This window comes from Homo sapiens, chromosome 15 (genome assembly GCF_000001405.40).
Source record: "Homo sapiens chromosome 15, GRCh38.p14 Primary Assembly".
Classification (NCBI taxonomy): Eukaryota; Metazoa; Chordata; class Mammalia; order Primates; family Hominidae; genus Homo; species Homo sapiens.
The window spans coordinates 77,669,131-77,692,746 of record NC_000015.10 but is presented as its reverse complement, the minus strand read 5'-3'; the positions used below and the strand labels follow the sequence as shown (position 1 = coordinate 77,692,746).

Below are 23,616 nucleotides of genomic sequence, written 5' to 3'. Positions count from 1 at the left end.
GTGTTTATTGAAGTTTACCTCTGCCCAGGGCTGCTCCCTGCTGCCCTCGGAGGTGAGGATCTCACCCAGGCAGGAGGGAGTGGTCCCAGGTCGGGAAATTGGCAGAAAAGCCTAGGGACATGAGTTTTGCTGCTGGGAGGTGTATTACATTCACAGTCGAGGTCTCTCGGATGCATCCGCAACTTCAATCTGATAAGTTTTAATTTTTGTTTGTGTGCTTATTTTTTAAAAAACCTTTTCCTTGCTACCTTTATTTTACTTCTTGAACTTTTTCCGTTCAATTGCCATACAAAAGATTTGCCATGAAATTAAAAAGGAGAAAAACTCTCCGTCCGTGTTTCCACTCCTCCATGGCAACAGCCACTCCCTCCCTGCCCCCTTGTCCTCTTCCTGTGATGACAGTACTAGACCTTGCAGAATATTTGGGAAGTAGACGTGGCCCCAGGTTACTTAACCTCTCTGTGCCTCAGTTTCCTCATCCAAACCATAGAGGTAATCATTGTTCCCTCACCCAGTTGTTGTGCAGATTCCATGAGTTAACTTTTAATTTGTCAAGTGCTGAGGAAGGTTCCTGGCACTTAATAAGTACGATGCACATATGTGTTTACGTAAGATGAGTAAGTAAGAAGGAAAGGGCAGCCGTAATGCTGCCATCATGGCACAAAGGGCAGCTGTAGAAGTCTGTCTTTGGCATCAGAAATCAAGTGTTCAAGCCCCACTCTGCCCACACTCTCCATGGAGCCAGGAGCACGCATGTGGTTGCTTTCTCTGAACACCCGCTCCTCCTGTAAAATGGATCTGTAATCTGGACCCTGTGATGCCGCAGCGTGGGTGGGGGTGACAGATGGGAGTGGGCCTCGTACATCCTGCAACCCAACCCCCACCTGCACTCATTTTCTCAGTTTTCTACCTCGTTATTGTCACGAAAACATTACTCAGCGTCACTACCGGTCTCTGCTTGATCATTTTTAATGGCTGTGTAATACTCTCTTGGCAGGGGTGCCGTGAATTGCTCCGTCATCTCTGTCGTGGAGTGTTTAGGCAGCCTGCAGTGTCTTGCTGTTATAAATAACGGCTCTGTGCCCAAGAGTCTTCCCCTCTGAGTGACAGTTTTCCGGGACAATCTCAGGACATGCATTGGGGCTGCTTTGCTAGAGGGGCTGAGGGAGGGTCCAGTGGCAGTGGCTGGAGGAGGTAGGTCCCTTCAAGGGTAGCCTGACACCCTTCCCCAGGGACATCCCTTCCCCAGGGACATCCCTTCCCTAGGGATGGCAGCATGGGTATCAAGACAGCAAGACACTGCTGGCGATGAACATGATGGGAAAACACGAGGCCATGGTGGGAAGGGCAATGGGTACTATGGAGGATCAGGGCTGGGAGTTGGAGGAACTGTGTTTGCCTTTGCCACCCTCTCACTGTGTGACCTCGGGCAAATCCCTTCTCCTCTCTGGACCTCAGTTTTTCCCATGTACTGTGGCCAGGAGGCAGGCAAGGGTTGATCCACAGCTGTGTTGTCCAGTGTGGTAGCCACTGGTTACATGTGGCTATTTAGACTTAAATGTAAATTAATTAAAATAAAACAAGATTAAAAATCAGTTTTTTTATCACACTATCCACATTGCAATATCCGCATATGACTGGTGGCTGCCATATTGGACAGTGCAGAGACAGAACATTGTCATTGTGGTAGAAAGTTCTGTCAAACAGTGCTGGTCTAGAGGTGCTTCCAGGGATCTTCCTTTGGTCTCACCTTCACCAAGGTGTGGCCACCATCTGCCCTACTTCCTGTACTCCTCAGGCCGCTTGTGAACCCTACCACTCACTCTTGCTTCTCTTCCTTTCTAGGGATCTTATGACCATGACCTGGCTACCTTGAGTCTGTGGGGCTACACAGCCTTCAGCCTGCATCTCCAGGGCTCTGACTCTATCCAGCTCCTGGACCAGCTCCCAAGTCTACTCCTGACCCCAGCCTGGGCCAAGGGGACTTCTCAAGCTTTGGGACCCAGCAGGACACAGCAGCAGTCAGGGTAGGTGGCATCCCCCCTCTACCCATTCCCTGGCTCCTGGAGATACCCAAGCCTTCTTGATCCCCAGAACAAAAGGGATATCTTTCTGTACACTGTATCGGTCAGGATCCCTTTGATTGTAAGTAGCAAAGTACAAAAACTAAAACAAACCCTATTTCATTAAAATGAAGTTATCAGCTCTTGTAACTAAAGTATTTAGTGGTAAGATGGGCTTCAGGCAGGGCTTGATCCAGTGAGTCAAACGGTGCAACCAGAACCTGGTTTTTGTCTGTATTCCTTCACTCCTCTCCTTGGTGATGGCTCCATGCTTAGTGGCATTTGGCATGACATGGTCAAAAGATGCCTGGCAGCAGTTTCTGTGGTAACATGCTTCTAGGTTTGGAACTAGGGTTGGGGGTGGAGACAAAATCTTCTCTGACAGAACAAACGAAAGTCCTCGAGTTGATCTCGATTCAGCTCATCCTGAACCTTTAACTGGGTCCACAGGACTTAGAAACACTGATGGGCTGGGGGTCAGGGTCTGTCCTTCCCCAACCATGTTACCAGGAATGAGGGGTGAGCGTTTCCCAAAGGAATCTTAGGATCCTGCTGACAGGAGAAAGGAGACCCCTCCCCAACTAGGGAAGGCAAATAACAAATAATCATTCTAGATGATGTCATAGATGGATGTGGACGTGCTGTGTATCCTCAGACAAATCTCTATGCCTCTCTGAGCTTCAGTTTTCTCACCTGATAATGAATCTCACCTGGCAGCGATGCTGAGAGAACTCCCTGAGATGATGTACAGAAAGGTCTGACATCTAGCAGTTTCTCAGTAAATCCTTGTTCCCTTCCCCTTCTTGCTTCCCCCTCCAGGAAGTTTGGGACATCGCTGGTTTGGTTTTTTTGTTTGTTTCTTTTTTTTGAACTTAGAAGGGTGTATTGTTGATCAGAATCCTTAGAGGCAGAGCCTGAGACGAAGATTTGTGTACACGAGCTGTATTGAGGGCAGGGCCTCAGGGAAAGGGAGGAAGAGAAGAAATCGGGGTAGGAATGATAGCGCAGGCAAAGATGGGCCTTGGGCTGGTCCAGGGAACCCTGGAACATAATTCACACACAGAATTACCCTTCCCACCCCCCACATGGAGGTCGGGCTTTTGGGCCCCTGTATCAATCAGTCATTGGCCGTGAGCCACCCATGGGAGGGCCTGGATGGCCCAGGTGAGGTGGCCCCCATTTGTGGAGGGCAGTTCTCTAGAAAAGGGGGAGCATTGAGCTGCAGCAGCCCACCCTCTGGGCAGCTGGGGGACAGGGTAGCGCACCGGCCATAGAGGGCATCTGGGCAGCCTACCCTTTAGCGCAGGGAGGCGGAACTTGTGTCCCAGCCTCGACAGTTCCGGACCTCCTGAGTGTGTTGTCTTCTCTGGTTTTTGCTCTTCCTGCCCCCGGTGCCTCCTACCATAGGGGGCTGGCAGCCAGCCTGGGGGCTGGTGATGGGATGGGACCTTGGCCCCTTCTTTGGAGAAACCTCTTCCACACCCAGGCTCTGCACTTGCCCTCCACCTCTGCTGCTTCTCCTCTAGTGATTCCTCTTCTCTCAACCTTCACCTGCGGTTCCTGTTGCCTATTATGCCCTTCCTCACTCTCTGCCCTTTCCTGCTTTTCAAGGCCCAATTCAGGTCCCTTCTTCTCCAGGAAGCCTCTGCTGACTGCTCCGGCCTGTGGTTTTCTGCATTAGTCCATCTTCCAGCTCCACCCTTTTCACAGATGAAAGACCAAGGCCCAGTGTGCATTGCCTCATTCATACTCTGCTAGTCACTGCGTCCCAGCACCAAAGTGCATTGCTGTCTTTGTCTTGACTGCCAGGAAGCTCATAGTTGGTTTGTGGCCTATTTCTGATAAGTGCCCAGGATGCTGTGGCTTGCAGTTGCTTAATAACCTTGTCTGTGGCTTCTTCTTTCTCATTTTTCCTTTGTCCTGATTTCTTCCTTTGTTTTTCAGCATGTGCTGCTTCTGTTGTTCTCAGCAGCCTCCAATTCTTTTGGAGGGAGGTGGGGTATAAATAACCAACCGTGGCGGGAAATGAAGCATTCAGTGCCGACTGCAGCCAAATGCTAGGCCCTTGCTTTCCTAGGGGCATCTCGGGTGGGAGGGTCTCCCCCAGGCCCAGGGTTGAGCCTGTCCCCAAGCAACACTGAAGCCTGCCGCGGTGGCCCCAGTACAGTGCCCACTCTGCCCTCCGAGGGTCAGGACTAGCATTGTTCTGCTGCCCGCCCTCTTCCCTCCCTCTCCCCATCTTATCAGAAGCTAATGAAAGAGGCTGGGAAACCCAATCCTCTGGTAATTAAATTTACTTAACGGGTATTCAAGTGGAGTAATGAGAAGTTTAATGCAGTGATTAGATTTTTCTTTAATTAATTAAAATGAGAGCCATGTGTCTTGCCAGCAGACCAACTTGACCCTCTGCTTGAGAGTAGCAGAGACAGTGGGGGGCTTGGCTGGGCTGTTGGGAGGCTCGGGGGCAGGTGCCGCCTCCTGCCCTGGCCCTGCTGTCTTCAGAGGCAAGCCCAGCTCTGATGTCCATCCAGGCCAGTCTCTGAATTGGTCCTTGTTTCTGAGGTTTGTAAGTGAGTAGGCTTGGGTCAAACCTGGGTCACCCGGGGCCAGGGATCCAACAGCCCATGCTCTTGGAGAGCTGAAAACTGAACCAGGATGGAGGTTTCAGACAGGAGCGTCAGCAAGGTGGCTTAAAAGCAAGGAGCCGCTGGGTTGAGCCTGTCCGCAAGGATAAACTGAAGCCCGATGGTGGTAGCCCCAAGACAGTGCCCACTCTGCCTTCCAAAGGTCAGGACTAGTACTGTTCTGCTTCCCTCTTTTGGAAAAAAGAGATTTCAGGCCCTGTGACGGGAGGAGGTATTTTGGGTTGTGCATCTCAATGCTGCCATGTGCCAGCCAACACCTTCACTTTCATGTTCAGCCAGACCTGGGTTTACCTCCACTGGCACTGGATCACCTGGGCAAATAGAATGGGGCAGTGGGTGGCAGTGGGTGGATAACCCACAAAGCACTTTTTCACTTTGGCTTGGGAGTGCATCCACGCTAGAAGGCTGACTGTCCTCACTGTGTTTTTGAAGGCTAGGTGGGGAGGCAAGGAAGAGCTTCCCTGCTCGAGCCACTTCTGCTAGGGCAGAGGGAATCTGGGAATCCCAGCACAGCTGCCTGGAGTGGAGCATAGGACCAGCCTAACCAGGATAGAAGGCAGGCATAGTAGGGGCTCAGGAGACAGGCCCTGGCCCCTGGGGGACAGGTTATGTTAATTGTCAAAGCCCTGGGTAAGGTGGTAGAGAGTCCTGGGCTTTTCACAGGGGGGGACAGAAAATGTCCCTCATTAAGACCTGACCCCAGCCCCACACTAAACCCTGGTCCTGGACAGATTGAACTTTGATCCTGGTTTTACAATGAGCCCTGACCTCAGTTGCGCACTGAGCGTTGATCCCAGCCTCACACTGAGCCCTGATCCTGAATCAACTGAACCTTCATTCTGGTCCTACAGTAAGCCCTGACCCCAGCCACGCACAGAGCCTTGATTCGAGCCTCACACTGAGCCCTGATCCTGAACAGACTTAACCTTGATCCTGGTCCTACACCGAGCCCTGATCCTGGCCCCACACTGAGCTCAGCATTGTCGTGGATATGCCAATAGAAAAGCAGGTGCCAGGGTAGAAGGGGTAAATGGCCCTGTTTGTCCATTCCCACTGCCAAGTCTGCTGTCTCTGGGCAAGGCTCCTGTGCCAGGCCCTGCACTAGTTTCTGGGATTGCCTAGAGGAATCAGCCATGATCCCTGCCCACAGGGCTAGTGGGGGCACAAGCAAACAGGTGATGAGAGCACCAAGTGATCAGAGCTGAGGTGGGGGAGGCCCAGGGGACTGGCAGGGACATGGCTCTGTATTCAGAGTGTTCCTCTGGCAGCAGGTGGGAGATGGAGGTGCTGGAGGCAGGGGCCATTGAGGAGGCTGTGATGGGGTCCCCGAAGAGGCAAGGATGGTGCCCATGGGCAGTTTAGAGAGTCTAGGGTAAGTGTTCTCCCAGCATAACTGACTGTGACCCCCCAGAACACCTCAGCTCATGGTGAACCAAGGGACTTACCTGTGAGAGGGTTGACGGTGGGGGCACTGGGCTGATGATGACACCCTGCAAGGGAGGCACATGTATCCCTTCCATGGAAGAAGAAACAGAAACACAGGCACTGCCTGATGCCCCTTGGCTTGAAGTAGCCAGGCTGGGCATGTTCCCGGGTCTTGCCTTCCCCCAGGCCTGCATGCTGGTATTGCTGAGGGTGAACTTGCAGTAGGAGCTGGGGGCTTCTTTATGACTCTTCCACTCTCGCCTGAGTGAACATAGCCTGAGCATCGGCGGGAGCAGGGGAGCCAGTCAGGGGAGTCTGGGCCAGTCAGCCTGGCATCCAGGGCTGGTGCAGGGCTTCCAGCACGGTTGAGGTTCTCGGAGCAGGGGGAGTGAGGAGGGCCTCAGTTGGGTGGGGGACAGGGGACATCAGGCTGAGGCCTCCGACCACAGACTTAGGGCTTGGGACTAGCCCAGAAAGGAGGATCTTCTGCCTCCTTCACCTTCCCCTCCCCATTCCGGGTCCCACCCCTTTGGATTTCCAGGCACTCACACCCATTGCCCTCCTGCCATGCTCCAGCTGCTTCCAAATAGCCGGGCTGGAGAAGCCACCTAGACAGCCGCCCACCACCCACCTGGGGAAGCCCAGGCCCCAGGACAGTAGGGACCTGCTCAGGATCGTGGGGCTCTGCCTCCTGCATTGCTTTAAGGGGAAGAGTCTGAAATCCCATTATCTTGAATTTACACTTTTACTTATTTATTTTTTAGAGATGGGGTCTCACTGTGTCACCCAGAATGGAGAGCAGTGTTGTGATCATGGCTCATGGAAGCCTCAACCTCCTGGGCTCAAGTTATTCTCCCACTTCAGCCTCCCAAGTAACTGGGACTACAGATGCACCACCATTCCTGGCGTTTTTTTTTTTTTTAAGACGGGGTCTCACTATGTTGCCCAGGCTGGTCTCAAACTCCTGGCCTCAAGTGATCTTCCCGCCTCAGCCTCCCAAACTGTTGGGATTACAGGTGTGAGCCACTGCACCCTGCCTAAAGTTATACTTTAAACAAGGATTCTACGTGTTTGAATACCTACTCTGGGATGGGAGGCCTTCAGGGGCATGTGTGCACACAAGTTCACTGGTACACAGGCAGACATCCCCAGGGAGCACCATACCCCAGACATGTCCACTGCCTCCCTGGGTTCCTGGTGCCATAAACCACTGTCTCAGTTAGTCCCCTCAGCAGTCTGTGAGGTTGGGTTATTGGTCCACAGGTGAGGGAGCCAAGGTCCTGAAAGTAGGCCACAGCCACACTGCTAACTGCAAAGGCGGAGCTGGCCTGACAAGCTCAGATCCTCAGATCCTCGGTCAAGCTGCCTCCTCCACAGATCACCCCTTCCCTGCTGGGCTGGAGGCACAGCTCCTCCTCCGTGTTTCTCCAGAGCCCTCTAGCATACCCACCCACCCCATCCCCTGCAGCTTCCCACCTTGCTCCAGCCACAACCAATGACTCTTACCCCCACTCCCCACACCCACCCCCTCCAGGCCCTTGCTCAAGCTGCCTCTGGCCCCTGGAGCTTCCCTCCCCCAACTCTATCTGTCCACACCCCCCATCCTTCTAGGCTGGGCCCAGGTGCCACTGCCTTCATGGAGACCCTGTGCGCACTCACCCAGTCAGAACCCAGAGCCCTCCCCGGGCACCACCCCGAGCTTGTTGCCCAGCCCCTTGTAGGCTTCTGGCCTCCCTGCGTCTGACTTGGCAGCTGCATGGAGGGCAGGGGAGTCTCTTTGCCCTAGCTTCCTGGGCCAGTTGCCCCCTGGGCCTGGCACACAGTAGGTGCATGGGAGGTCACTGGGGTCCTTGCCTGGGGAGGGACTGCATCTCTACAAACCCATCCATTTCCTTGGCCATCCTGGGTCAGCTGGCTGTTTTGGGACTGGTCCCCACCCCCAGCCCAGCCCCCTACCCAGGAGACCAGCCCCGGGGAGCCTAATTTAGTCCTGGCTGGCTTGGGACGGGGGCTGGCTTCTGACCCCAGCAGACCCTGGTGCACCCTCCACCGTGCCCAGCTTCTGCAGTGGTGGGGGAGCAGTTGCAGGGGAAGGCAAATCCCAGCTTTGAGCTCACAGGCCAGTCTTGGAGCCTGGCAGGTACAGGGACCAGGAGTTTCCAGCCCTGTGTGCCAAGCACTAGTAGAAGGCTGCATAAGACCCTCTGCCTAGGTCCACTTACCCCCTCTAATTACTGGCTGTGTGAGCTTGAGCAAGTCATGTAACCTCTCTGTACCTCAGTTTCCCCATCTGTTAAATGAGGTGATAATAAACCTATCTCAGAGGGTTGCTAGGAGGATTCAATGAGTCAATACAATGCAAGGCACGTTGCACAGCCCCCAGTGAACGAGGTGCACTTCCTAAATGTCGACTGTCACCACTGTTACATGTTACAGAAGCAATGGGCCCACCAAGGCAGAGTGTGGGGGAGTGTTTGGGGAGAGTTTCCAGAAGGTGGTGACACCTGAGCAGTTACTTAAAAGGCAAGGCACAGAAGGCAGGAAAGGACATTCCAGGAAGAGGGACCCATACAGGACAAAGGCCTAGAGGCAGCTTGGGGGACATGTAAGGGAGTTGGGAGCATCTGGATTTAAGGTAAGGCTGGAAAAGGGAAGACCAGAGCTGGGGTTGCCCAGAGGCTGTGTCCTCAGGGTCCTAGGGTGCCACGCCAGGGAATTTGAACTTTGTCCTGCAGCCTGTGAGGGGTTATGGGAGGAGGAATTTTTTTTTTTTTTTTACCATAAAAGCAGTATTTGCTCAAGCAAAATTAAAAAACGGAAACAATATAGAAGTGTGTCCTGTAAAGTAGGAAAGTCCCTCTTTGCCTTTAAAGCCCACTCTGCCCATGTCCCACTGCTGTTGGCCTGGTATGTTTCCTTTCAGAACATTTTCTGTGCTATTGCAAACATATTTATTGTGTATTGCTAAAAAAGGAAACGGAATCATATTATGCACATTACCCCACCAGTTCCATTTTTCACTTCCCAGTATATTGTGGGCATCAGTCAATGTCATGGCACCCAGATCTGCCGTGTTCTTTTTAATCGTTGCCTAATATTCCATTGTTTGTACAAAGCATAATTTATGTAACTAGTCCTGGATTGATGGATATTTAGATTGTCTTCCATTTTTCACTCTTGCAAATAATGCTTCGGGGAGCATCCTTATATATATCTTGCTGACACCCGTAAGCCTTTCTGCAGGATAGATTTCTAGATGCGAGTGGCCGGGGTGAAGGGTCTGCTTGCTCAGTTTTTATAGCAACCTTGCTCTTCCCAAGGTTGGGCCAGCTGATGCTGCCCCCTTGGTATCTGAGAGTGACCATTTCCCCATACCATCCTCCACATTGAACATTCTCAATCTTCCGGATATTTGCCGATCTAGAAAAATATCTCACTATGGTCTCCACACTCACTCTGCTTCTCCCCAGCGAGGCTGAGCATCTTTTCGTGCAGTTTTTGCCCATGGGTGTTTCTTCCTCTGTGAATGGACTGTTCACGTCCTTTGCCCATTTTTCTTTTCTTTTTGCCTTTTTCTTATTGATATAAAAGAGCTTTTAGTGCATTAGGAATTTAAAAACTTTGTCTGTTTTGTGTGTTGGAGATACTTTCCCTAGTCTGCTGTTTGTCTTTTTTAACTTTGTCTGTGGTATCTTTGGTCATAGAGAAGCTTTAGATCTTTATTTAGTCAAATCTGTCAGGCTGCTCCTCAGGGCTTCGGAGTTTCGCGTCTGGCCTGGCGAGGCTTCCTGGGCGGGTTTTAAGTGGAGCGGGGATGAGGTCATATTTGTGACTGGGAAAGGCCGTTCTGATTGCCACTGTGTGGATGGGGGTGGCTGGGGGACTGCAGGCAGGAGGATAGGAAGCAGCTGAGACCTTTGTGCCCAGAAGGGGGTGGGGAGAACTGGGGAGAATATGAGTTTGAGAAATATTCAGGAATCGGCTGACTGTGGTGATAGGATGCGAGGTGAAAGAGGGAAAGAGAGGACTCTGGAGTGATGCTTGGGTGTTTGGCTTGGGGGGCTACATGACTGATGCCACCACCACCCTTAGTTGGGGACAGGACTAGGGAGCGAAATGCATGCAGGTGCACATGAGTGGTCACCTTGGCAGGGACACATGGACATAGGAACACATACGTGCACACATATGTACATGCTTGGAAATTCTGGAGATTGGTGCCACTGTACCGTGGCCCCGTGGGTGTCTGGTTTTTGTGAAGTGCCTATTCTCTACCAAGTACTGTATGAGACGAGACACTACACACACACACACACACACACACACACACACACACTTTAATCTCTACTGCCATATGAGTATGGCATTAGAGATAGGGAACCAGTCCCAGAAAGGTTAGGTAATTTGCTGAAGGTCACAGAGTTAGTAAGTGGCAGAGGAATTTTTCTCCATCTTAGATCTGACCACCCACAGACAGAATTTCTGCCAATGGCATCGAGGAGGAGCTTCCATTCATTTCCAACCTCACCACTGTGGTTTTATCAGGGACTCTTAGGGACGAGTGCTGGAGCTGGACTGCCTGGGTTTGAAACAACCCCATTCCTCTCAAGACATTTCACCTTTCCATGCTTCAGCTTCCCCATCCTGGAAACCAGGATGGTCAGGGTACCCTCCTCGAGGGCGTGTGTGAGAAGCAGATGAGTTAGCAGAAGGAAAGTGCTTAGCCCAGGGGGCTCATTGGGTGCGATTTATGGGGACCATGATGATTATGACAACCACAGTGGCAATGGTGCTCACCCCTCACCTGGGTGTCTGCCACTTTCCCTCCTCCACTCCCCTCCCTTCCACCCTCCCTCCACCTGTCCCCTCATTCCTGTGCCAGCTCTTCCTCCATTCCCATAGGTGCTGCCTTCACCATTTGCCTCTGAACCTTTGTCCTCTGTTTTCAGCCCCCCCACACCCTTGGCAGACAGTGAACTAAAGCCCAATCAATCAGCAAAAACCATTCAAGGGAAAACGATTCATGTTGCATTCAGGGACTCCTCCCTCAAAGCAATTCTAGTCAGGCATTTTCCAAGAGCCTGTGCATTCATCACAACATTGCCTGGGCCTCTGTGAATTAGACCATAGAGTCGAAACCTACAACCCCTTCCTCCCTGAGTGAGATGCTCAGTTGGACTTTGGAGCTGAGAGTCTGAGCTGACCCCAGCCCAGCCAACTCCACTGTAGCCAGGAGCCATCCTTGCATCCCTGTCCAGTTCCTTATCTTAAGCTTATCTGAGCAAATGCTATGGCCATGATGGTGGATGCAAAAGGTGTTCAAGCAGGATGAAAACCTCAGCCTGCACCCAATTAAACAGGTCTCATTTACAAAGAAAAAAAAAACCCACAGAAATAACCAAATGTACCATTTTGAATTTCTCATCATCAAAATTAACTCCCAAGTAGATAGATGCTCGAGGCAAAGAATGGAGCAGAGACTGCTGGTTTCCGGTATGACTTTGTTTTTGGTTGCACTGGATCAGTCACACCTGTTGATTCTTGGTGGGTGGATTCCACTGCAGCCAAGTCTTACTTATTGGGGAAAGTGAGAAGTCGCAGGGGCGTTTATCAACAGGAAGGGCTTTCCCTTGGGTCGCCTGCTAGTGCCCCTGTTACCTTAAGGGGTAGCATCTTCTCCTTGTTCCTCGTGTTGTCCCACAGGAGCACACAACATTTCAGGTGATAATTGCCAAAGTAAAACACCAGTAAGTTCAAAATATAAACCAGCAATTAAGTTTGCACTCCAAGGCCCTGCGGGAGTTTTCCTTATCTCCCTGAGTTGTGGACAGATGAGTTGGGGGTCCCAGAGCCTTTCTGGGAGCTGGTCTTGGACCCAAGTCAAGGAAAAAGCTCTGGAGATGCCCCAGCCTTTGCTCTAAAGTCAAGTTCAGGCCCTCGAATTTAGGCGTAGGCCCCAACTCTCATGGAGATGCCACTACCTGCCTCAGCTCACACCTCCCTTCTGCATGTGGGGAAGGTCCTGCAGGTGGAGCCCATTGCAGGACCTGGAAGCTCCCCCTTTTCCTCGTGGATAGGGAACTCTTGAATTTGGGAAGTGAGATTATTCTACCCCCACTGAAATTTTAGTTACTTAGAGGCTCCCAAATGGGACTTAGTTCTCTCACTCAGAAAGTCACCCAAACGTGTTCTAACAACATATGCAGCAAGGTGACCTGCCCCCAAAGGGGCAGTGGGGATTTTGTAGGATAGGCAAGGTTGTGCTGCACTAACCGGTACTCTCTGAACTCTCAGTGATTTCATGTGACAAAGGCTGTCTTCCTTCCTCCGTTTACCACATGAACTCACATTCCATGCCCGGTGTGGGATGTGGGCAGGGTAGTGGAGCTCTGGTCCACACAACAACTCAGGGACCTAGGCTGCCAGGAGCTCCATCATCTTGTAGCCCCTTCCAGAACATGTGGCCTCCAGTCACCATGGCAGAGAAGAGACAATGATGAGGTCACGCACGGGCTCTGAAATGCTTTGGCTCATCAATGACACGCATCGCTTTTGTTCACAGCCCGTTGGGCAGAACTTCTCATATGGCCCAACTAACTCTAAAGAGGCTGAGGAAATGCCAAGGAAATGTGCTGACATTCAGTGAGCAATAAAATTCTCTGGTACAAAGGCTGTTGTGGGACCATTTTCAGAGCCAGGTTTCAGAAGAGCCACGGCTGTGACTCCTGTTTATTCTCTCCACCTGGGGCATATCGAGTGGTTGCTATGGGCTATGTAATATCCTGATCACATCTACACTGTCCAGAAGGTGAAGAAGAGGATGGATTCTAGTGGGAAGCTCATCAGGGAGCTTCCAGATACAGAGTTTACAAGGACAATGGATCCTCCATGGGTGTTGCATTTAGGGCTTGGCCAAGGACCTAGTCAGGTGTTCTGACTCCAGGACACCTGGGATCAAGGACTGGCTCAGCCCCTTATTAACTGTGTGACCTTGGGCTAGTTGCCTCTCTCTATGTCAGTTTTCTCTTCTGTAAAATGGGAGTATTGATAGCATCTCTGTCTTTTGGGGCGGTTGTGAGGACTAAGTGAGTTACTATGAGTAAAGCACTCAGAATGGTGCTAGGCAAATGCTAAGGGCTCTGTAAATGTTAGCTATCACCACCTCCACAACCGTCATCACCACCATCATCGTCATCATCATTATCCAGTACCAGATGCTATTCTAGGTATTGGGGGAATAAATACCAAGGTCTCTGCTTTCACACGTGATGGAAGAGATGGAAAGTAAATAGGTAAATCATTTAAATAATTAAATTAAGATGTTTATCTCCAATAGTGATGGCACTAGAAAAAATCAGATAGATGTTCATCATTATTAGTAATTAAGGAAATGCAAATTAAAACCACAATGCAGGCCGAGCGCGGTGGCTCACACCCATAATCCCAGCATTTTGGGAGGCCGACGTGGGTGGATCACCTAAGGTGAGGAGTTCGAGACCAGCCCTGCCAACATGGTGAAACCCCATCTCTACTAAAAATACAAAAATTAGCTGGGTGTGGTGGTGCGCATCTGTAATCCCAGCTACTCAGGAATCAGGCAGGATAATCACTTCCCCACCAGGGAAGTGGAAGTTGCATTGAGCTGAGATGGCGCCACTGCACTCCAGCCAGGGTGACAGAGCAAGACTCCATCTTAAAGAAAAACAAAAACAAAAACAAAAAACAAAAAAACCCACAATGCAATACCACTACATATCATTACACTGACTTTGAAAATGTCTAATACCAAGTGTTGGCAAGGGTACAGAGCCACTGGAACTCTCCTAGGTTGCTAGTGGGAATGCAAAATGGTATAGCCAACTTGGAAAAGAGTTTGGCAGTTTCTTATAAAGTTAAAAATAGGCTTACCACACAACTCAGCAATCCTACTGTTAGGTGCTTAACCAAGAGAAATAAAAACTTACATTCACACAAAAACCTGTATGTGAATATTTATAGTGGCTTTATTCATAATCTCCAAAAACTGGAAACAACACAAATGCCCTTCAACTGCTGAATGGATAAACAACGGAGTACTATGCAGCAACAAAAAAGAAAGACATTCTGATTCAAGAGGCAACACAGATATTAATAAATGTGAAGTGCATTATGCTGGGTGAACGAAACCAGACTCAGAGGGCTACGTTTAGATGACTCCATTTGTATGACACTCTGGAAAACGCAAAACAACAGGAACAGAAAACAGATCAGTGGTTGCCAGGGGTAGGGGCTGGGAGGAGTTGACTACAAAGAGACAGCATGCCGGGATTTGGGGGTGACAGGATTGTTCTGTACCTTGATGGCCATAGTGGTTACACAGCCACACGCAGTTGTCAAAACTCATAGACTGTGCACTAGAGAGGGTCAGTTTTACTGTGGGGTAATTATACCTCAATAAACCTGATGGAAAAAGTTTGCTGTGGGACTATTGAAACAAGGAAAACCAAATAACAAGTCAGTCTGTCAGGGCAGTGAGACACGGTGAGGATGGCTTCCTCCAGGGTGGCCTATGGAGGACATTGGAGACTGTGAGAAGGAGGTGGTCACAGAGCTTTCTGAGGAGGTGGCAGGTGGCTGTGTGGTCTGGAGGGGAGGTGAGGGTGGCCCACAGGTCAGGGCTGGGTTGGGCAGTGCCCTGTGGGCCAGGTTAAGGGGCTTCACCCTCCTCTGGGCATGGTGGGTGCCACTGAGGGCATAGGCAGAGGGTGATTGAAGCACAGTTGTGGGCAGGATGGTCTGGGAGGAGGGTGGAGGGAGGAGGGAGGAAGGGAGACAGCACCTGTGGCCATGTCTAGGATGAGTGATGGGGGTGTAGTGAAGAATGAGGAAGGGTGGATCGGGGTGTCACTGAGAGGGTGTTCCCAAGGCGGGGTCAGCTGCCAGAGACCACAGGCTGAGGCGGGAGAGCTGGGGGTGCTGATGGGGTCCTTGGGGACCTTGCTGGGGATCTTGAGCGGTGCTGGGGCTGAGGACCTGTAAGTGAAGCTTCCAGGAGGCAGGGGACACATTTGTTGGTAGCAGTGGGAGTCTCAGAGAGAATGGGGTGGGGTTGTCCATCTGTGTATCTGTGCACGTGAACAAAACTTGCAGAGGTGGGCTGACCTTTGGAGGACATGGAGAGACAGTGAGAAGTTTAGGGGCTTAGACGGGGCCTTGAATGCCAGGCCAGGGAGTTGATGCTCCTGAGGGTGTGATCCATTAAGGGCTGGCCACTCCAGGGTGCTGGGAAGTGGGTAGGGATGGCACTGAGGAGCATGTGCTGTGCTGGGAGGCAGCACCTGAGGCCCACTGGGCTGGGCAATGGGGATCCACTGTGGGGAGCTGTGCTGAGGTGGGCCTCACCTGGGGTAGCAGGAAGCCCTGTCTTTGCCCCACTAACTTTCTTGCTCTTCCCGCACAGTGCATGCTGGGACCGCGACGGACAGGCTGCCGCACCCCAGGCCCCCAGAGGCCAGTCTGTTTGCCTCCCAACGCCATCTGACCCAGGTAGGGGAGAGTGAGGCAGTCTCACCCTGCCTCATGCTTCTGTGCTTGGTGGGAGGCTCTGGGTGTGAGGACCAGGTCCCCTGACTCAGGCTGGCGTTTAGCGAATGAGCCCCTGCCAGGGGCCATGGTGGGGGACACAGTGTGGGGTTTGAAGGCCCTAGCAGCAGAGGGGCCTCCTGTGGAGGAGTTCCTGACCTCTGAGAAGGAAGGCCACGCCTCAGCCATTCTTCCTCACCAGGCTTTGTCCCCGGGATGCTGAGAGGCACTGGGACACACCATCCCTGCAACCCCAGCGTTGCTGTCCTATGCTCACTGTCTGTCTTTGCTCAGGCTTTGTTTTGCGCCACACACCTGCCGAGTGCCTTGGCTGTAGGAGGTTTTGCTCCCAGGTTGGTCTCCCTTTGCCTTCACCTGCCTTTTCACCGCCGCTGCCCAGTGCAGTGCCTGATGGTGCTAATTCTGGAAGTTCCCAGCTCTCTGTGGGACATCGTCAGCACCCGGAGCGAGCCTGTCTCAACTTTCAGTCCCCCTCTGTGGTGGGCCTGAGATAGGCCATTTCTGCGCCACTCCTGGACATCCCAGGTGAAGGCTTTCGGCCTGGTGCCAAATCCCCCAAGGAATAGGATGGGGTAGCAGCTAGGGTTGCCAGAAAAAAAATACTGCTGTCCAGTTAAATTTGAACTTCAGATAGACAACAAATAATTTTTCAGTGTAAATATATCTTAAATATTACATGGCACATACAATTTTATTTGCCAAATCTGGCAACCCAAGTTGGGGGGCTAAACCCCCAGTCTCCCTTCTCCTCTGGCCAGACCTCCTTGCTGGGCTCACCCTGGCCTCAGATCAGCTGCCTCCAGTGGCTGTTGTGGGTGTCCTGGAGCCAGGGGCAGCCAGCCTGCCCAGGCCACAATCAAGGGCATTTCCTGATCCCCCAGCTGCCGCAGGCTGTCCCTAGGACAGAGACCTGGGGTCTGGGGCAGTAGTCCTGGTCTTTGGGAGTGCTGTAAGGTTCCTCGTCTTCCCCCCTCTGGCTCTCTGACAGCGGAGCCCAGGCTGAGGAGGTCATGGGACAGGGCGGGTTGGGCCTTTGTGCCTGTGAACAGAGCTGAGAGACAGGCATGGAGCTGTGAAAGGAACCAGGAATAGAAAATTGCTTCATGAGCTTGGAACCCAGAGCACTTTGGGGAGCCAGAGTGGGGATGGGGGTAACAGGGATGAGGCAGTGACGGGTTATGGAGGGCTTGGAATGGCTTACTTCTGCACCCTTTAATACTGGGGAGTCACAGAAGGTATTTTCTCCCTAAGCAGAATCATTTTTCTGATTATTAAGGTAATATGTTCTCTATATGTTACCTATTATCTATGTATGTATCTATCTATCTATTCATCCGTCTATCCATCTATCTCTCGGTATTTAAAGCATGCGGTTCAAGCCCCTTCTGTAGTCTTTTCCTCCCAAGAGCTAACACGGATAACTCGTTTGATATGTCCCCTTCCACACTTTTTTCTATGTACTTATCAACGTATTTTAAAAGGAAAAACATGGGCTCATATTAGTTATATTGCTCCAGCACTTGATTTTTTTACCTAACAATGTCATATGGATCATCCCGGGTCCTTCCATAGAGTTCTTCCCCACCCTTTTACATCCCTTGTATGATGGTCTACAAATCATTCATCAATTATTAATCCTGTTGGCAGCCATTTAGGTTGTTTCTGGCATTTGGCTATTTATAAACTTCACTCAGGGAACCTCTGGGTTTGCACATCTGTGTGTGCTTGTGCTGTAGTTCTTTTGGGAATGTTTCTGGAAATGGACTTCCTGAGTCAGAGGGCACCCACATTTCCACATTTGATTTGTTCTGGACAGCCAGATCAACCTGCAGAAGGCTGAGCTGATTTATGCTCCTACAAACTGTATGCAAAATGCCCCTTTCCCTCACCCTTGCCAATCATAGGAATTATTAATCACTTAATCCCTGCCAATTTGACAGATAAAAATGATTTTACTCTATGTTTCTTAGACTGCTAATGAGGTTGAGCATATTTGCATATGCTTGTTGGCCATTTCTGTTTCTTCACTTGTAAATTGCTTGTTGATGTCAAGTCCTCTGCTGCTGTATCCACTCATTCAGGAAGTATTTACTGAGCACCTACTATGTGTCAGACATTGTTTTGGTTAGGGACCGAACAGTGAACAAAACTCACGAAATATACCTGCTCCAAGGAATGTAAGCTGTGATGGAGGAGAGACAGACAAGGAAAAATACAGCATGCGTATGGGAGTGTTAAGTGCTAAGGCGAAAAAAAATCAAGCAGAGGAGGGGGATGGGAAGTGTTGGGCAACTTGGACATGGTCGTCATGGAAGGTCTCTTCGAGAGGTGGCATTTAAGTAAAGACCAGCAAGAAGTGAGAGACTGAGTTGGGTGGATGTTGTGGGGGAAGCGCCTTCCAAACAGAGGGAACAGCAGGTCTGAGGACCCTGAGTCAGGAGCAGACCTGGCTTATGGGGACATGGCAAGAAGGCTGGTTGGTGTGGCCAGAACAGGGTGAGTGAGGGAGAGAGTGGGCCATGCAGCCGAACAGGGACCACGCACTCATCACTCAGGGCCTGCAGGCCGCCTGGAGGACTTGACTGTTACCCAAAATGAAGTGGGGAAAGCCATGGAAGGTTCTGCGTAGTGACATGGCATGATTGGAATTACATTTTAACCAGATCCCTCTGGCAGCTGTGAAGCAGGGAGATCCGACAGGAGGCTGTTTGTTGCAGTGATCCAGGGAGGAGGCAATGGAGGACTGAACCAGGGAGTCTTGGTGGAGGTGGGCAGAAGTGGATGGATTCCACATGTATGCTCAAGGTAGAGCCAATAGGATTTGCTGACAGATTGGATGAGGTGGTGTGTGAGAGAGAGAGAAGGGAGCCAACCATGACTCCAGGGGTTTTGGCCCAAGCATCTAGGAGGGTGGGGTTGCCATAGATGGAGATGGGGAGATCGGAGAGGAGCGGGTTGGTGTAGGGGAGAGGAGTGGTTCAGTGGTGGACAGGAGTGCTGAACAACCGTGAGTCATTTGGAAAAAATGGTTACATAATGTGTGGGACCCAGAGCACAGTGAAAACGGGTGACTTTTTGCTAAAAAAAAATTAAGAATTTCAAAGTGGGAGGTGACAATAGAGCGTTAAAGGAAGCCTGGGGCCCTTCTGAGTGCACAGCCCAGGTCACACATCTGTGAGCCAGCCCTAGCAGTGGACACGTAAATGGTGAGATGCCTGTAGACAGCCTGGCAGAACCATGGAGTTGACAGGTGGATGTATGTGACTGGAGTCCAGGGGACAGGTCTGGGCTAGAGATACAAATTTGGGGCTATCAGCATAAAGATAGTATTTAAAGCCATGAGGTTGGATGAGAGCATGGAAGGAGAGTAGACAGAAAAGACCAATGTCCCAACCCCCAGACCTCCATCAGTTAGAGGGTGGGGAGCTGAGGGGGAACAGAAAAGGTGACTGAGAAGGGACACCCAGTGAGATGAAAAGGAACCAGGCATGTATGTCCTGGACGCCAAGGGCAAGATGCATTTCAAGCATGTGTCAAATGGGGCTAAGGATGCAGACTGAGAACTGGTCACTGCCTCGGTAACGAGGTCACAGGTGACCATAGTTTCAGCGATTGGGGCGGTGAAATGCATCTTATTGATTTGCAAGAGCAGGTGGATTTAGAAGAGGTTAAAGAAATTAACTCTTTATTTGGCATATGTGCAAATCATTATTCACAAGTTTTTTTTTTTCATTTAAGTTTATGGGATGTATTTAACCCCTTAAAAGTTTTAGATTGTCCTGTGTTCAAGTCTATCACTCCTTTCCTTTAGAGTTCCTGGCCTTACCCACTGCAGAATTTTAAAAATATTGGCCTATACTGTTTTCTGGTTGTTTATGATATTCACAAATATTTAAATCTCTAGTTCATCTGAAATGTATTTCTGTGTGTGGTTTGAGGTAGGGATCTAAGTGGTTTTTTCCCAAATGACTTGCAGTTGTTTCGGCACTGTTTGTTGGGTAAGCGTCCTTTCCCTGCTGCTCTGAAGCTCCATTCCTGTCATCTGCTGAAATGTCCCCAAAGTCTCATGTCTGTCCAGACCTCGCTGTTTGATTCCATTGATCTTTGCCTGGGGAGAGATTTAGGAAGTTGAGAAAATAGACTTGGTGATTGATCAGAGTTGGTGTGAGGAGGGGGAAGGAGTGGAAGCTGACACAGTTACCTTCAGTGTGGGAAGAGGCAAAGGGAAGTCGGGGACAACAGGAGCTCTAAGGGCTCCTGTGTGCTAGGCACACGGGGCCTTACCTGTCAGCCTGCACTGCAATTCTTCAGGGTCGGCGTTCTGTCTCACCATTTGCAGATGAGAAAACTGAGGTTCCAAGAGGTTTCATCTCATGTCCAGGGTCATCGCCTCACAGGTGTGGGGCTGACACTGAAAGGCAGAGCTCTGGGTTCCCATGCCTGCCTTCTGTCCTCAGTGAAGTGAGAGGTGAGGAGGGGATTCTGGAGGCTGGAAGGTCTCCAGGCACAGAGCGCCCCCTGACACCCCACTCTGCATCCCTGCCTGCCATTTGGCTGGGTCTTGAAGGTTTTCCCGTTCCAAAAGCAACCTGTTAAGACCAAAATACTCCTGGCAGGGAATCACACGTTAAGTTTACAGCTAACATCTTAATTATCAGTTAACACCTCTGCAGGCATTAGCTGACAGCCAGCTGAGGACACTGAGTGGGGGCTGGTGTGATGTGTATCTGGGTTGGGAAAGGCCAGGAGGGAGGGGAGGGGTGAAAGGGGAGGGTTGGGTACCCAGCAATCTACAGCTTCCCCCCGGGCTTGAGAGGGAGGCGGCACTGAGTCCATGTGGAGGGGAGGTGGGGAGAGCTGGGGAGCGAGCACTGTGGGGGTCGGGGTGGGGAGAGGAGTGGCAGCTTCTCTAAGGAAACTTGGGGCTGGAGTTCAGAGAGGGAACTGGCATCTATTAGACACCTGCTGTGTTCCTGTACCCATGTGCTTGGCCTCAGGAGGAGGAGGAGGAGGAGGAGGAGGAGGAGGAGGCAGAGGCTCATCATGTGTTTGGTCTTAGGAAGGTCAGGAAATCAGCCGCCCATGAGCCACCTCAGGCCCAGCTGCCAGCAGTCACTCAGAGCCAGGACCTGTCTCTGACACCCACAGACCAGATCCGTCACCCAGCCCTGTGGCGTAGGAGGAGATAGTGAGGCATCTGGGGCCTCCTCCAGTTTCCTGGGGGCCAGTCCACCCTGCCAGGGTCAAGACTCAGTCTGTAACCACAGTCAGAAGGGTCTGACCCTGGAAGTCTCACCCAGGAGGGTGGCTGAGCTCCTTAGGCTGAACTGGGACACAGCAGGAGGCCCAGGTGGGTACCAGGCGGGGACCGCCTTCCTGCCCACCGCTGCTCCCCACCTCACTGCTGCATGGGGGCAGGGAGAATAGGAAGGAGACCGGACCGCTGGTCTAAAGCTGGGGCCTCTCTCCCAAAGGGGCTTCCTCCCTGCCTAGCTTCACTCTGCCCCGGGGCACTGATCTGTGACATCTGTGTCATCATGTGTCTGAAGGTAACCGGCTGCCCAACTGCGTCATCACTGTGTTGGGCTCTGGCTTAGCCTTCCTGGGACCCTGGGGCTAAGAGCAGCCCGTGCTTCCTCTCCATCTCGCCCCACCTCTTTTCTTCTCCTCCTTCCTCCCTTCTCACCCCCTCTCCTCCCTATCCCTCTCCTTCTCTCTCCCTCTACCTTCTCCCTCTTCTCCCCTCTTCCCTCCCTTTCCCTGCCAGCCAATCCTGGCCTTGCACCTAGTTGCTGGCAGTCAGACCCTGAGATATCAGACTTGCTTCTAGCTCAAGGCTGGCCCAGGTCCTGGGTAGGGCTCCACAGTCAGGCACAAGTCCCGCTGTTCCCTTGTACTCACCTGCACACCCTCCCAGAGGTGCTGCAAGGGCTCAGCTGGGGAGGGGCCCTGCGGGAGGGTCAGGTGGTGATGAAGTAAGGCTTTTGGGAGGGGAGGAACTGTGCCTGGTGCCTGGGAAGCCTGAGAAAGCCTTCCAGGAAGCGGGCCCTATGTGAGCAAAGGCTGTGTGAGCAAAGGGATGATAGACAGGGCCTGGGCTGGAGGAGCTAGGGGTGGTGCTTGTCCATCAAAGGGGATTGAGGCCAGATCCAGCAGGTGGACTTGATTCTGAGGCCCCAGGGATCTGGGGGCTTTGAGGCAGGAAACAGCCACAGAGCTGCCTGCCTTCTTGTGCCCATCTTCCCTGCCCAGCAGCAGCTGGCCCCTGGCCGCCCTGGGTCCTGCTGCACCGAGTCTGGAGGCCTGGCTTCTCTGCCCAGTTCTGCCTCCAGCTTGTCAAGTGACCTTAGGGCAAATGACCTTGAGCCTGGGCCTCAGTGGCCTCACCTGAGACTGGGGCCATGGCTCTGGACCAGAGGTTTTACAGAGTATGAAGTGTGCCCTGTGTTAACATGGTGCTGTGGTCACTGTTGTGGCTCAAGTGCCTGCCCTGAGATGCCAGCTCTGGGGACCACGGCTGTGCCTCGGGTAGGGCCCCACCCTCCCAGAGCTTCCACTCTTGTGAGGGAAACAAATGTGTAAAATAGAGGTTGAAAATTAGAGGCTGCAGACAGACATGTGGCTTGTGGATGTGTTGTTCCATTTTAAACAATTTGGTTTTAAAAAATTGAAATATAATCCACATGCCATAAAAGTCACTATTTTAAAGCATACAGTTCAGTGATTTTTAGCATATTCCCAATTGTGCAACTCTTACCACTATCTAATTCCAGAGTATTTTCATCACCCCGAAAGGAAACCCTGTACCCTTTAGCAGTTACCCGCCATTCTCCCCTCCTCCCTGGCCCTGGCAACCACGAATCTACTTTTGTCTCTTTGGATTTGCATATTCTAGACATTTCATAGAAATGGAATCATACAATATGTGGGCTTTTCTGCCTGGCTTCCATTGCTCAGCACACAGTTTTTAAGGCTCATCCATGTTCTAGTGTGTGTGTATCAGTACTTCATTCTTTTTTTTGGCTGAATGATATTCCATCGTATGGCTATCACACATTTTGTTTATATAGTCATTCATGAACATTTGGGTGGTTTTGACTTTTTGGCTCTTATGAATAATGCTGCTATGAATATTTGTGCACAAGTGTTTTCAATTTTCCTGGGTCGATTTCTAGGTGCTAAGTTGCTGGGCCGTAAGGCGATGTGGTTTGAAAGGCATTAGACAGGGGCATGCTCTCCAGTTTGTGAGTTCTGCCCACTCGCTGTTGCATTATCTTTGCCCCTTCACTCACTTTCATTCCTTCCCTGGCCCCTGTAGGCATCTAGGTTTTCAGCCCTTGATTACTGAACAGTGATGGAGAGGAACACAGTGGGCTATGGGAGCCAGAGAAGGCTCCTGACCCTGGGAGCAGTCCCAGAGGGCTTCCTGGAGGAGATCCAATCTGAGCTTAGCTTAGCCTGTGTGGACATTTTCTAGGACAAAAGGAGTGAGGGAGAGTGTTCCAGGGTCTCCAGGGCCCAGCCAGGATGTCCTCTCTCCCTTCCTCTGGTGTGTACCTCTCTCGGTTTTCCCTGCCATTCACTCAGGGGACTACAAACACCTCGATGGGCTAGCGAGGTGAAGGGGGAAGATGAAGGAGTGAGATGAGATGTGGCTCTGTGCTCTTGCTGAAGAGCTGGGGGAGATGCTGTGGGAGGCAAAGGGATGGGGGACTTTGGCTCTTCCTCAGCTAGGGGCTGGCAGAGTCTGAGGACCTGGAGCAGAGGCGACCCTAAGCCAGGACACTCTATGTCCCAAAGTGGCATCCAGTTGTCCTCTCTCTGGCCCCTGGTGGGAGCAGGTGAGAGACAGGATGGCCCTTGCCAGGCCTGCAGCAGAGGCAGAGGCCCAGTGGCGGCCC

At 51.5% G+C, this 23,616-nt stretch overlaps 1 protein-coding gene across 14 annotated transcripts in view, besides 2 other annotated features; it reads left to right on the top strand.

Moving 5' to 3' along the window:
- The window catches only part of LINGO1 (leucine rich repeat and Ig domain containing 1), a 207,874-nt gene that overhangs the window by 128,154 nt on the left and 56,104 nt on the right, over nucleotides 1–23,616 (top strand). For 10 of the 14 annotated variants that reach the window (NM_001301186.2, NM_001301187.2, NM_001301189.2 and 7 more), the window contains 2 exons: nucleotides 1,846–2,027; nucleotides 15,573–15,658. The gene's annotated coding sequence lies outside the window, so the exon portion shown is untranslated. Of the gene's footprint in view, nucleotides 1–1,845; nucleotides 2,028–15,572; nucleotides 15,659–20,967; nucleotides 21,066–23,616 lie in introns of those variants that run through there. The other 4 variants (NM_001301194.2, NM_001301198.2, NM_001301195.2 and 1 more) reach the window with 3 other exon arrangements.
- Nucleotides 14,948–15,473: an enhancer, noted in NCBI's record as "H3K27ac-H3K4me1 hESC enhancer chr15:77969616-77970141 (GRCh37/hg19 assembly coordinates)". NCBI's record gives its function as "activates a minimal SCP1, AML or CMV promoter by ChIP-STARR-seq in primed H9 embryonic stem cells {active_cell/tissue: H9 hESC(primed)}" and the evidence as "EXISTENCE:reporter gene assay evidence [ECO:0000049][PMID:30033119]".
- Nucleotides 20,492–21,408: an enhancer, noted in NCBI's record as "H3K4me1 hESC enhancer chr15:77963681-77964597 (GRCh37/hg19 assembly coordinates)". NCBI's record gives its function as "activates a minimal SCP1, AML or CMV promoter by ChIP-STARR-seq in primed H9 embryonic stem cells {active_cell/tissue: H9 hESC(primed)}" and the evidence as "EXISTENCE:reporter gene assay evidence [ECO:0000049][PMID:30033119]".